This window comes from Homo sapiens, chromosome 1 (genome assembly GCF_000001405.40).
Source record: "Homo sapiens chromosome 1, GRCh38.p14 Primary Assembly".
NCBI lineage: Eukaryota > Metazoa > Chordata > Mammalia > Primates > Hominidae > Homo > Homo sapiens.
In genome coordinates this window covers 39,902,245-39,916,886 of record NC_000001.11, presented here as the reverse complement: position 1 = coordinate 39,916,886, position 14,642 = coordinate 39,902,245, and the positions used below count along the sequence as shown (strand labels likewise).

The 14,642-nt window shown below is 47.4% G+C and overlaps 1 annotated feature.

Moving 5' to 3' along the window:
* Positions 14,397 to 14,606: a silencer, noted in NCBI's record as "silent region_716". NCBI's record gives its function as "represses an Ori minimal core promoter by ATAC-STARR-seq in GM12878 lymphoblastoid cells {active_cell/tissue: GM12878}" and the evidence as "EXISTENCE:reporter gene assay evidence [ECO:0000049][PMID:35858748]".

Here is a 14,642-nt window from a genome sequence, read left to right as displayed (position 1 = left end):
TGCTTATCTCCACTCCTGAAATTCCACTAAAATGACAGCAAGTGGATTAGAAGAAATTGTTTTAATTTACGAGCACACACACAAAAAAAGGAACGCCAGGCGCGGTGGCTCACGCCTGTAGTCCTAGCACTTTGAGAGGCTGAGGCGGGTGGATCACCTGAGGTCAGGAGTTCAAGACCAGCCTGACCAACATGGTGAAACCCCATCTCTACTAAAAATACAAAAAAAAATTAGCCAGGCATGGTGGTGGGCGCCTATGATCCCAGCTGCTCTGGAGGCTGAGGCAGGAGAATCACTTGTACCCGGGAGGTGGAGATCACGCCATTGCACTCCAGTCTGGGTGACAGAGCAAGACACCACCTCAAAAGAAAAAAATAAAGTCTAGTATCCAGTTTTATCCCCACTGACACTGAGCTCTGAGTGGCTCTTAAAAATATATAAAATTTTATAAAAAGAGTCTAGTATCCAGACTATATAATAAATTCTTACAACATGACAACAAAAAGACAACTCAGTTAAAAATGGGCCAGGTGGCTGGGTGTGGTAGCTCACACCTATAATACCAGCACTTTGGGAGGCCCAGGCAGGAGGACCCTTTGAGTCCAAGAGTTCAAGACCACCCTGGGCAACATAGAGAGACCTCCTTTCTACAAAAGATCAAAAGATTAGCTGGGGCCAGGCATGGTGACTCACACTTGTAATCCCAGCACTTTGGGAGGCTGAGGCAGGTAGATCATTTGAGGTCAGGAGTTGGGGACCAGTTTGGCCAACATGGTAAGATCTGGGTATCTACTAAAAATACAAAAATTAGCCGGGCATGGTGGCATGCACCTATAATCCCAGCTGCTCGAGAAGCTGAGGTAGGAGAATCACTTGAACCCAGGAGGCAGAGGTTGCAGTGAGCCAAGATAGAGCCAGTGCACTCTAGCCTGGGCGACCGGGTGAGACTGTGTGTTGAAAAAAAAAAAAAGATTAGCTGGGTGTGGTGGCTGGCCTCTAGTCCCAGCTACTCAGGAAGCTGAGGTAGAAGGATCACTTAAGCCCAGGAGGTAGAGGCTGCAGTGAGCCATGATCATGCCACTGCAGTCCAGTGTGGGCCATAGAACGAGACAATATCTCAAATAAATAAATAAGCAAGCCAGGTATGGTGGCACATGCCTGTGGTCTCAGCTACACTACTCAGGAAACTGAACGGGGAGGATTGTTTGAGACCAGGAGGTCAAGGCTGCAGTAAGCTGTGATGGTGCTACTGCACTCCAGCCTAGGTGACAGAATATGACCCTGTCTCAAAAAAAAAAAAAAAAGTGGGGAGTGACAAAGGATTTGAATAGACATTTATCCAAACAAGATATATTAACAGCCAATAAGCACATGAAAAGATAATCAACATTATTAGTTGTTAGAGAAATGCAACTCAAAACCACAAGAAGGCCCGGCACGGTAGCTCATTCCTGTAATCCTAGCACTTTGGGAGGCCAAGGTGGACGCATCATTTGAGGTCAGGAATTCCAGACCAGCCTGGCTAACATGGTGAAACCCTGTCTCTACTAAAATACACAAATTAGGGCTAGGCACAGTGGTTCATGCCTGTAATCAGAGCAGTTTGTGAGGCTGAGGCAGGCGGATCACCTGAGTTCATGAGTTCTAGACCAGCCTGGCCAACATGGTGAAACCCAGTCTCTACTAAAAAATACAAAAATTAGCTGGATGTGGTGGCATGTGTCCGTAATCCCAGCTACTCAGGAGGCTGAGGCAGGAGAGTTGCTTGAACCTGGGAGGCAGAGGTTGCAGTGAGCTGAGACATGCCACTGCACTCCAACCTGGGCAACAAGCGAGATTCCGTATCAAAAAATAATAATAGGCCGGGTGTGGTGGCTCATGCCTATAATCCCAGCATTTTGGGAGACCAAGGCGGGCAGATCACATGAGTTCAGGAGTTCAAGACAAGCCTAGCTAACATGGTGAAACCCTGCCTCTACTAAAAATACAAAAATTAGCCGGGCATAGTGGCACACGCCTGTAGTCCCAGCTACTCTGGAGGCTGAGGCAGGAGAATCACTTGAACCCAGGAGGCAGTGGTTGCAGTGAGCCAAGATCATGCCATTGCGCTCCAGCTTGGGCAACAAGAGCGAAACTCCATCTCAAATAATAATAATAATAATAACATAAAATAAATTGGTAAAATACAGAATTACCCAGCCTTGGTGGTGCATGCCTATAATCCTAACTACTCAGGAGGCAGAGGTGGGAGGATTGCTTGAGCCCACTAGAAGGCAGAGGTTGCAGTGAGCAGAGATCATGCCATTGCACTCCAGCCTCGACAACAGTGTGGGACCCTGTCTAAAAAAAAAAAAAAAAAAAAAAAAAAAACAAAATAAAAACAAAAACAAAAAAACCACAATGAGATACCACTTCCACACCCATTAAAGATGGCTGTAGTAATAATAATAATAAGCTCGAGAATAACGGGCAGGGCTGTGGCTCACACCTGTAATCCCAGCACTTTGGGAAGCCAAGGTAGGCAGACCACTTGAGCCCAGGAGTTCAAGACCAGCCTGGCCAACGTGGTGAAACCCCATCTCTACTAAAAATACAAAAAAAATTAGCTGGGGGTGGTGGCGCGCACCTATAATCCCAGCTACTCTGGAGGCCGAGGCAGAAGAATCGCTTGAACCCAGGAGGTGGAGGTTGCAATGAGCCGAGATCGTGCCACTGAACTCCAGCCTGGGCAACAGAGCAAGACTGCATCTCAAAAAAAGGAAAAAAAAAGAAAATAGAGATATTCCTCTCCCTCTCCGTCTCCCTCTCCCTCTCCCTCTCCCTCCCCCTCCCCCTCCCTCTCCCTCTCCCTCTCCCCACGGTCTCCCACTCCCTCTCTTTCCACGGTCTCCCTCTGATGCCGAGCCAAAGCTGGACGGTACTGCTGCCATCTCGGCTCACTGCAACCTCCCTGCCTGATTCTCTTGCCTCAGCTTGCCGAGTGCCTGCGATTGCAGGCGCACGCCGCCACGCCTGACTGGTTTTCGTATTTTTTTGGTGGAGACGGGGATTCGCTGTGTTGGCTGGGCTGGTCTGCAGCTCCTAACCGCGAGTGATCCGCCAGCCTCGGCCTCCCGAGGTGCCGGGATTGCAGACGGACTCTCGTTCACTCAGTGCTCAATGGTGCCCAGGCTGGAGTGCAGTGGCGTGATCTCCGCTCACTACAACCTCCACCTCCCAGCAGCCTGCCTTGGCCTCCCAAAGTGCCGAGATTGCAGCCTCTGCCCGGCCGCCACCCCGTCTGGGAAGTGAGGAGCGTCTCCGCCTGGCCGCCCATCGTCTGGGATGTGAGGAGCCCCTCTGCCTGGCTGCCCAGTCTGGAAAGTGAGGAGCGTCTCTGCCCGACCGCCATCCCATCTAGGAAGTGAGGAGCGCCTCTTCCCGGCCGCCATCACATCTGGGAAGTGAGGAGCGTCTCTGCCCGGCCGCCCATCGTCTGAGATATGGGGAGCACCTCTGCCCTGCCGCCCCGTCCGGGATGTGAGGAGCGTCTCTGCCCGGCCGCCCCGTCTGAGAAGTGAGGAGACCCTCTGCCTGGCAACTGCCCCGTCTGAGAAGTGAGGAGCCCCTCCGCCCAGCAGCCGCCCCGTCTGAGAAGTGAGGAGCCCCTCCGCCCAGCAGCCACCCCGTCTGGGATGTGAGGAGCGTCTCCGCCCGGCAGCCACCTCGTCCGGGAAGGAGGTGGGAGGGTCAGCCCCCCGCCCGGCCAGCCGCCCCGTCCGGGAGGGAGGTGGGGGGGTCAGCCCCCCGCCCGGCCAGCCGCCCCGTCCGGGAGGTGAGGGGCGCCTCTGCCCGGCCGCGCCTACTGGGAAGTGAGGAGCCCCTCTGCCCGGCCACCACCCCGTCTGGGAGGTGTACCCAACAGCTCATTGAGAACGGGCCATGATGACAATGGCGGTTTTGTAGAATAGAAAGGGGGGAAAGGTGGGGAAAAGATTGAGAAATCGGATGGTTGCTGTGTCTGTGTAGAAAGAGGTAGACATGGGAGACTTTTCATTTTGTTCTGTACTAAAAAACTCTTCTGCCTTGGGATCCTGTTGATCGGTGACCTTACCCCCAACCCTGTGCTCTCTGAAACATGTGCTGTATCCACTCAGGGTTGAATGGATTAAGGGCGGTGCAAGATGTGCTTTGTTAAACAGATGCTTGAAGGCAGCATGCTCCTTAAGAGTCATCACCACTCCCTAATCTCAAGTACCCAGGGACACAAACACTGCGGAAGGCCGCAGGGTCCTCTGCCTAGGAAAACCAGAGACCTTTGTTCACTTGTTTATCTGCTGACCTTCCCTCCACTATTGTCCTGTGACCCTGCCAAATCCCCCTCTTCGAGAAACACCCAAGAATATCAATAAAAAATAAATAAATAAATAAAAAAGAAACATCGTAAAAGAAAAAAAAAAGAAAATAACAAATGTTGGCACAAATAGGCAAATAAAAAAACCACTGAATCACACACTTTATTTTTTATTTTTTATTTATTTATTTTTTTTGCAACAAGTTCTTACTCTGTTGCTCAGGCTAGAGTGCAGCACTGCAATCATGGCTTACTGCATCCTCAACCTCCCGGGCTAGAACAGTCCTCCCGCTTCAGCTCCCTGAGTGAGCAGCTGGGACTGCAACGCACAACACCACATCCAGCTAATACATTTTTTTTTTTTTTTGAGTCAGAGTCTCGATCTGTCGCCCAGGCTGGAGGGCAGTGGCGCGATCTTGGCTCACTGCAAGCTCTGCCTTCTGGGTTGAAGCGATTTTCGTGCCTCAGCCTCCTGAGTAGCTGGGATTACAGGCCTGTGCCACCATGCCCGGCTAATTTTTTGTATTTTTAGTAGAGATGGGTTTTTGTCATGTTGACCAGGCTGGTCTCAAACTCCTGACCTCAGGTGATCCGCCCACCTTGGTCTCCCAGAGTGCTGGGATTACAGGTGTGAGCAACCATGCTGGCCAGCTAATATTTTTGTCTTTTTTTTGTAGAAATGTTACCCATGCTAGTCTCGAACTCCTGGGTTCAAGCAATTTGCCCACCTTGACCTCCCAAAGTGTTGGGATTACAGGCATGAGCCGCTGCACCTGGCCTGAATTGCACACTTTAAATGGTTAAAATGTTGAATTTTACGGCATGTGAATTTTTCCTCAATTTTTAAAAAAAGAAAATGAGGGGGAGGAGACAACAGCAATTGACAGATATATACAAACCTTGTGAAGCTTGAAAGCAGACAGATAAGGGCTGGCTGATTTAGCAAAAGGCCAGAAAAATCAGAAACTAACTGCTTATGGTGGGAGTGGGAGAAGGAGAAGTATCAACAAGGAGCAAGCCCATGAGTGCATCAGAACCCAAGAACAGCTCATCAACTGGAGGCACTGGATATTTCTAAAGGCAGGATGGTAGGATGGGGCTGAAAAGAAGAAGATTGGATGAAAGTAAAAGGAATTAGACTCCTAAATTTTCTCCCTCAACTTCTGTAATCAGGTGACTGCCCTCTTCCTACCTGGCGGGAGACAGGTTGAATTGAGAGGCTGTGGATTTGGGAACACCAGGCACAGCTGAGAACAAGAGTGATGGACTGTACTGAAGTCAGGGAGGGATTAGCTGAACCATAAGATAGATCCCTTCATCTCCTTTCCCCTCTTGGTACCCAGAAGGCTGGCAGCCAGGTTTCTAACCTCGCCCTGGTAGATTAGAGGCCTTCTATATGTGAAAATAGAAAGGTAGGTGGCTCATGCCTGTAATCCCAGCACTTTGGGAGGCTGAGGTGGGTGGATTACCTGAGGTCAGGAGTTCGAGAACAGCCTGGCCAACACGGTGAAACCCCGTCTCTACTAAAAATAAAAAAAATTAGCTGCGGCTGGGTGCAGTGGATCACACCTGTAATCCCAGCACTTTGGAAAGCTGAGGCAGGTGGATCACGAGGTCAGGAGATTGAGACCATCCTGGCTAACACAGTGAAACCCCGTCTCTACTAAAAATACAAAAAAAAAAGAAAATTAGCCGGGCATGGTGGCAGGCGCCTGTAGTCCCAGCTACTTGGGAGGCTGAGGCAGGAGAATGGCGTGACCCTGGGAGGCGGAGCTTGCAGTGAGCCAAGATCGTGCCACTGCACTCCAGCCTGGGCGACTGAGCAAGACTCCGTCTCAAAAAAAAAAAAAATTAGCTGGGCATGGTGGCAGGCGCCTGTAATCCCCAGGTACTTGGGAGGCTGAGGCAGGAGAATAGCTTGAACCCGGAAAGCGGAGGTTGCAGTGAGCCGAGATTGCACCATTGCACTACAGCCTGGGTGACAAGAGTGAAACTCTGTCCCAGAAAAGAAAAGAAGAGAAAAGAAAAGAAGAAAAAAGAAAAGAAAAGAAAAGAAAGGAAAAGAAAAGAAGAAAAGAAAAAAAAGAAAAAGAAAGATGTACTCATACTGACAGTTGAGGAGTCCCCTGCTAGGTACCTGCCTAAAACCCTTTAGTGAAGCTCAGTAATCAAATACCTCCCCACACACACATATAGAGCTTTCAATCAGCTTTTAATGCCTCACTGTTTTGTTTTGTTTTCTTTAACATGTGGTCTCACTATATTGCCCAGGCTGATCTTGAACTCCTGGGCCCAAGCAATCCTCCTGCCTCAGTCTCCCAAGGGATTACATATGCACACCACCATGCCTGGCTCTACTCTGTAATATACATAAACATCTATACCAAGGATTATCGGATGTTTGAGAAAGCCTCTAATGAAACACACAGAGCAAAGTAAGCAAGGGAGAAGTCAGAGAAAACAGGGAGCAGGAAAGACTTTCAAAATTTATAATAAGTATGAAAACTATTATTAATAGCCTCAGAGGAAAATGGGAAAAAGATTGTGTCCATGGAAAAAGAACAGGAAGCTCCAAAAAGGGAACATTTAGGGAACAACAAGAAAAAGAGGTCTTAAAAATTAAAAAATATCAGTCAAAAAATGTTTAAGTTGAGAAAAGGATTGGAAGTTGAGAACATGAATAAAAGGATTGGACGTTTGGCTGGGTGTGGTGGCTCACACTAATAATCCACCTATAATCCCAGCACTTTGGGAGGCTGAGGCAGGTGGATTGCTTAGCTCAGGAGTTTGAGACCAGCCTAGCAAATATAGGGAAACCCTATCTCTATTTTTATTTTAGAAAAAAAAAAGGATTAGAAGTTTGACTCCTAGGAAGTTGAACAGAACACATAAAGGTAGAGATGAGAGAAAAGAAAAGACAAGACAGGAGTTTCAGAGAGGGAGAAGGGAAAAAAAATGGAGGGGAGGAATTTCCCAAAGGAATAATTACAGAGTGAATTGGTTTCCATATTAAAAGATTTAGGGCAGCTGGGTGTGGTGGCGCCTGCCTGTAATCCCAGCACTTTGGGAGGTCAAGGCAGGCAGATCACTTGAAGTCAGGAGTTCAAGACCAGCCTGCCCAATATGGGGACACTCCATCGCTACTAAAAATAACAAAATTAGCCAGGCATGATGATGGGCACCTGTAATCCCAGGTACTTGGGAGGCTGAGGTGGGACAACTGCTTGAACCCAGGAGGTAGAGGTTGCAGTGAGCTGAGATTGTGCCACTGCACTCCAGCCTGGGTGACAGAGCAAGACTCCGTCTCAATTTAAAAAAAATAAATAGCAGGGCATAGTGGATCACGCCTGTAATCCCAACACTTTGGGAGGCTGAGGCAGGCAGATCACGAGGTCAGAAGATCGAGACCATCCTGGCTAACATGGTGAAACCCCGTCTCTACTAAAAATACAAAAAGTTAGCCGGGCGTGGTGATGGGCACCTGTAGTCCCAGCTACTCGGAAGGCTGAGGCAGGAGAATGGCGTGAACCCAGGTGGCAGAGCTTGCAGTGAGCCAAGATTGCGCCACTGCACTCCAGCCTGGGAGACGAGCGAGACTCCATCTAAAAAAAATAAAAATAAAATAAATAAATAAATAAATAAAAAGGCTTAGCGCAAAGAATTCAAAAAGATGCTGCAATGCAATTCTGACACTATCTAGAGTTAGGCCAAACTTCACAAGTTAATGGCACAGTCTCCACAAGACTGCCTTCACTTCAGAAACCAGCTATTAATAGAAGCTCAGGGTTTCCCAGGCCACCCACACTTCTGACCAAATGACTACAAATCTGGGGGTTCCCACTACCTACTTAGGTTCAATAATTCCACAGAACACCAAACTCAGGAAAGCACTAAACTTATAGTTACAGTTTTATTATAGCAAAGGCAATACAAATCAGGACCAGGCAAAAGAAGAGACACAAAAGGCAAGGTCTTGGAGGATCCCAAACTTAAAGCTTCCAGTGTCCTTTTCCCGTGAAGTCAGGATGCATCATCCTCTGGCACATTGATGTGTAACAATACACACAGACTATTATTAACCAGAAAAGCTCACCAGAGCTTCAGTGTCCAGAGTTTTTATTGAGGGTTCATTATGTAGGCACGATTAACTGAATCATTGTCCAGATTATTTAACTAAATCTCCAGCCCTCTTCCCCTGCCCAGAGGTCAGATTGATTATCAAGTGGCTCAAAAGCCCAGCACTCTAATCACATGGTTTGTCTTTCTGGCATGGACAGCCCCTATCATGAGTCATCTTAAACTATCTAGGGGTCCCCCATGGGCCACCTTATTAGCATAAGCTATCAGTGCCTGCCATAAATAACAGACACACCTATTACCTGGGAAATTCCAAGGATTTAGAGGTTACCTCCAAGGAACTGGGGAGAAAGGCCAATAAATTCTTTATTCCAACAGACCCACACCAAGGCACATCATTGAAAACATTTAAAATGCCAGGGACAAAGAATATATCCTAAAAGCTACCAGAGAAACAGGTCACATACAAAGGTTTGTAGATAAAATGACATCAGTCTTCTCAATAGCAATACTGGCTGCTAAGAAACAGAAAAAAAGTACTTTTAGAATTCTCAGGGGAAATTATTTTCTAATCTAATATTCTCTAGCCAGCCAAACCATCAACCAAAGGGTATACCAAAGAAAATTTCAGAAACACAAAGTCTCAAAACTTTTACTTCCCAAGTACCTTTTCTCAAAGCAGCTGCTGGAGGATATGCTCCACCAAAGTGAGGAAGTAAAACGAGAAAGAGGAAGAAACAAGCTCCAGAAAACAGGGGATGCGACACAGGAGAGAAGCAGAGGGAATTTCCAAGATGATGGTAAAGGGAAGTCACAGGATGACAATTGTGAAGCAGGCCAAGAGATCAATAAGTTCAGACTAGAACAGGAAGACAAAGGACTCCAACCAAGATGATTCCTAGAAAAAAAATGTAACTGATAGACTGATTACCTAGTGTGTTTGACCATATGGAGTAATCTTTGTAGCTCTAGTGGGAATGTGTAGGGTTAAATTCATAATAGATATGTAGAAATCTAAGCAAAAGAAAAACTGAGGCAATTTAACACTGAAAAAAAATATTGTATAAGAAAGGAATTATAAACTGGGTACAGTGGCTTAGGCCAGCATTTGGGGAGGCCCAGGCAGGAGGATCACTGAGCCCAGGAGTTCAAGACCAGCCTGGGCAACATAGTCAGACCCTGTATCTACAAAAAAAAAAAGAAAAGAAAAGAAAAAAAAATTTTTAATTAGCCAGGTGTGGTGGTGTGCACCTGCAGTCCTAGCTACTAGGGAGGCTGAGGTAAGAGGATCGCTTGAGCCCAGGAGGCTGAGACTACAGTGAGCCAAAATGGTGCCACTGCACTCAAGCCTGGGCAACAGAGTGAGACCTTGTCTTGAAAAAAGAAAAAAAAAGAAAGTAAAGGAAATTTAGGCTGGCTCTGGAAGCTCTACCTATGAGTATGAGTTAGGCTTGCTCTGCAAGGGCAATTTAAAAAAAGAAAAAGAAAAGAAAAAGAAAAAGGGCCGGGCATGGTGGCTCACGCCTGTAATCCCAGAACTTTGGGAGGCTGAGGTGGGTGGATCACCTGAAGTCAGGAGTTTGAGACCAGCCTGGCCAACATAGTGAAACCCCATCTCTACTAAAAATACAAAAATTAGCCAGGCATGGTGGCGCACACCTGTAGTCTCAGCTACTCAGGAGGCTGAGGCAGAAGAATTGCTTGAACTCAGGAGGTAGAGGTTGCAGTAAGCAGAGATCATGCCATTGCACTCTAGCCTGGGCAACAGAGCAAGACTCCATCTCAAAAAAATAAAGAAAAAGAAAGAAATTTAAAAATCAGGAAAAAGTAGATCTCTGTATTGGTCAAAATATGGAAAGAAATATGAGGGACAGTCCTGGCATGGTGGCTGAGGCAGCCAGATCGCAAGGTCAGGAGTTTGAGACCTGCCTGACCAACATGGTGAAACCCTGTCTCTACTAAAAATATAAAAATTAGCCGGGCATGGTGGCACACACCACACACACACACTCAGTGATGTGAGCTGAGATCACATCACTGCATTCCATCCGGGGCGACAGAGTGAGACTTTGTTTCAAAAAACAAAAACAAAAACAAAAAACAAAAAGCTAAAACAATAGCTGCCTTTGGGGAGTGGGAATCAGTTGATGGCAAGACAGAAGATGGCCTTTTTTTTTTAACTTTGCCATATGCCTAATTGATTTTTTAAAAAATTATTACATGTATTTTGATTAAAAACATATTTTAGAAAAAATAAAGGAAATAAAATATTGCAGAAAAATGGAAGGTCCCTGGGGTAGCATTTGTTACCTTGGTAAATTCATCAGCATCCTGGGTCCAGCTTAGAAACCAGAGTTGTTAGCCCTAAAAGCAGCAGCATCTCTACAGAACAGACACACATTAACCAGGTTCATGAGACTGATATTGCAAATCAGATGCCAATTCATTAATTTATAAGAGGAAGCAGGGCTTTGAAGCAGACTGGATCTTCCTGTTCAATGATGAGTGCATTCTCTCCCTGTGGACTGATCTACATAGGAAACAGAATGGTTTTTAGAGGGTTGCTTGGTGATCCAGAGCATGAGTGAGGTAGGGGGTGAATTGAGTGGCTCCAAAGAATGGTACTTCCATCTCCCTTTTTCCTGGACCAGCATCTTTGTCCCCAGAGAAGGGACACTGCTGGTGATTGTCTTGGCAACTCTCCCTGATCTCTGGCTTCCTTGGCTGCCCAGACCCTCCTAACTGGCACCCTCTTTCTTTAGCTGCATTAATACTTTTAACCAGGTTGTAGTCTAGACTGGGCCTGAGAGTTCTTCTGTCTCTATAAGGTATAGTTTGGCTCTGCGTCTGCAACCAAATCTCATCTCGAATTGTAATCCCCATGTGTCCAGAGAGAAACCTGGTAGGAGGTGATGGATCATGGGGGCAGTTTCCCCCATACTGTTCTTGTGATAGTGAGTGAATTCTCACGAGACTCGATGGTTTTATAAATGGCAGTTTTTCCTGCACTCACACCCTTTCCTGCTGCTTTGTGAAGAAGATGCTTGCTTCTCCTTCCCCTTCTGCCATAATTGTAAGTTTCCTGAGGCCTCCCAAGCCATGCGGAACTATGAGTCAATTAAACCTCTTTTGTTTATAAATTACTCAATCTCAGGTGTTTCTTTACAGCAGTGTCAAAACAAACTAATACAATTGGCATATCTCTACTTTAAAGCATTAGAGGTGAGATGTGGTGGCTCACATATGTAATCCCCGCACTTTGAGAGGCCAAGGTGAGAGGATCACTTGGGCCCAGGAGTTTGAGACCAGCCTGGGCAGCATAGGGAGACCCCATCTCTACAAAAAATTAGCCAAGTGTGGTGGTGCATGCCTCCTATGGTCCCAGCTACTCAGGAGGCTGACGTAGCAGGATCCCTGGAGCCCAGGAAGTCAAGGCTGCAGTGAGCCATGATTGCACCACCGCACTCCAGTCTGGGCAACAGAATGAGACCCTGTCTCAAAAAAACACAACAAAAAAATTCGGAGGCCAAGACAGGTGGATCACTTGAGGTCAGGAGTTCAAGACCAGCCTGGCCAACATGGTGAAACCCCATCTCTAGTAAAAATACAAAAAATTAGGGGGAGGGGGGAGGGATAGCATTATGAGAAATACCTAAAGTAAATGACGAGTTAATGGGTACACCAACATGGCACATGTATACATATGTAACAAACCTGCACATTGTGCACATGTACCCTAGAACTTAAAGTATAATAATAATAAAAAAAAAGGGACAGAAGCAGTATGATCTTTAAAAAAAAAAAATTAGCTAGGCGTGGTGACAGGTGCCTGTAATCCCAGCTACTCGGGAGGCTGAGGCAGGAGAATCACTTGAACCGGGGAGGCGGAGGTTACAGTGAGCCGAGATTGCGCCACTGCACTCTAGCCTGGGCAACAGAGTGAGACTTGTCTTAAAGGAAAAAAAAAAAAAACGCAAAAACTAAAACATTAGAGTTTTGTGTTCAGTCATATACTCAGCACCCATGATGTGCCAGGCTTTGTTCTAAAGCCCTGGGGTACAGCCATGAATAAGGCTGACATTTGTCTGCCCTCATTCAGTTTACAGTCTGACGAGGAAGACATTAAACAAACAAAAGTATGCAAAGTGAAGAAGCAGTGTTAACTCTCAGAAGACAACTTAATTTCCTTTTTCCTACTTCTTGAGGAGGGGCAGCACCTCCTGGTTGCCCCCATATATCATCTACAATGAAACCATGGGAAGAGCTGCAGGGTGGGGGCTGTAGTCTAGGTAAAGAAGGCCCATTCTCCAAACATAAATTTCCAGCCTCCCTTGAGGTCTATACCACCAATTATTCCAATAAAGTCATTTTCTGCTTACATTTGTCTAAGGTTGGTTTTTTGTTTGTTTGTTTTGTTTTGTTTTTTTGTTTTGAGACAGAGTCTCGCTCTGTCGCCCAGGCTGGAGTGCAATGGCGCAATCTCGGCTCACTGTGAGCTCCGCCTCCCGGGTTCACGCCATTCTCCTGCCTCAGCCTCCTGAGTAGCTGGGACTACAGGTGCCCACCACGACACCCGGCTAATTTTCTTGTATTTTTAGTAGAGATGGGGTTTCACCGTGTTAGCCAGGATGGTCTCGATCTCCTGACCTTGTGATCTGCCCGCCTCAGCCTCCCAAAGTGCTGGGATTACAGGCGTGAGCCACTGTGCCCTGCCTAAGGTTGGTTTTTGTTATTTGTAACCAATAACCCAGACTAGTACAGCAACCATCTCAGACATCTGTGGACCAGAGAAAAGTCACTAAAGGACAATCCAATGCCTGTGCCTTGGGGCTGCAACCAAACCTGGAACCCTTCTGATTTGTGTCTTCCGTTTAGCACAAAGCAGGGCACACAAGCTGTCTCAGTGAAATCTGGTTAGCTGAGTCCCTCAGTAAGTCAGTTAGTTCACAAATGTCTGCCAGAAGCTGTTCTAGGTGCAGAAATCACAAAGCAAGTAGGAGCAGGTTTCTGCCTTCAAGATGTCCCACATGCAGCACAGACCCAACGTATCTAAAACGGAAGGCTGTCATTTTCCCTGCCTTCCCAACCCATATAACAACACACATCCGTGTCCCATGCTCCAACCACACTGAATTGCTTGCCCTTCTCACTTCCGTCTGCCAACAGTGAGTAGTTTGGTGTTCTTAGACCACAGGGGTGGGAGGGAAAGAGAGAGACAGCAGACAATCAGGCTGGGGTAGACAGACACCAGACCTTGATGCCAGGTGGAGGAATCTAGATGTATTGGCTGCTGTCCCAAGTTACTCTCCTCTGGCCTAAATCTCAGACTGGCCGTATAGTTTAATTTTTTCTCTTCCACCAAAGGTCATCTGTGTAGAAGATGACACAAAGGGGGACCCAGCACGGTGACCCGTGCCTGTAATCCCTGCACTTTCGGAGGCTAAGGAGGGAGGATCATTTGAGCCCAGGAGTTCGAGGCTGCAGCGAGTCATGATCGAGCCACTGCACTCCAGCCTTGACGCTGAGTGAGACCCTGTCTCTTAACAAAATATATTTAAAATTTAAAAAGAAGATTATACAAAGGGGTTATCTATCATCTTGGCCAGCAATGCAGGGCAAAACTTGAAACAACTTGGTCCTGCAGTATTTTCCAGATGCCAAATCCTCATTCTCTACTGTACAGCTCCTACAGTGTTTTGTGTGAGATGAGAGGGAGCATGGCGGGTCTCAGCTGGCTTTGCCCTGGGAAAAATTCCTCATTTCTGCACCGCCTCCCCAAAGCGGGGGCTAAGCCAGCGCCGTCTGCCTCTCCACCTAGACCAGACCCCTTCCCTAGATGCTCTTATTTCCCTGAAGCCTCACAACAACCCTGTGAGGTAAGCATTACCATCCCTTCATTTTACAGATGAAACTGAAGCTCAGGAAGGTTACGTTTCGGGCTCTAAATCCCGGAATCTTCGCTTCGATGCCATCCAGGCTTGGGCCACTGAGCTCAAGAAACGGGCCGACGGGTGACCAGACGGACGCCGGGACCAGCCCAAGTTCAGGGCTGAGGGCCGCCAGGTGGCGCGTTTCCCTCCCCCTACCCCTCGCGGCGGCTCGGGCGCACCTGAACCCAGCGGGGTGCGCCGGGGAAAGTAGGCGCGCAGGGTGGGGCGGGGAGTAGCCCTAATTCCCCAGCTCGGAGTGGGCAAGGAGCACGGTTTAGCTCAGCCGGCTGGCACCGCCAAGC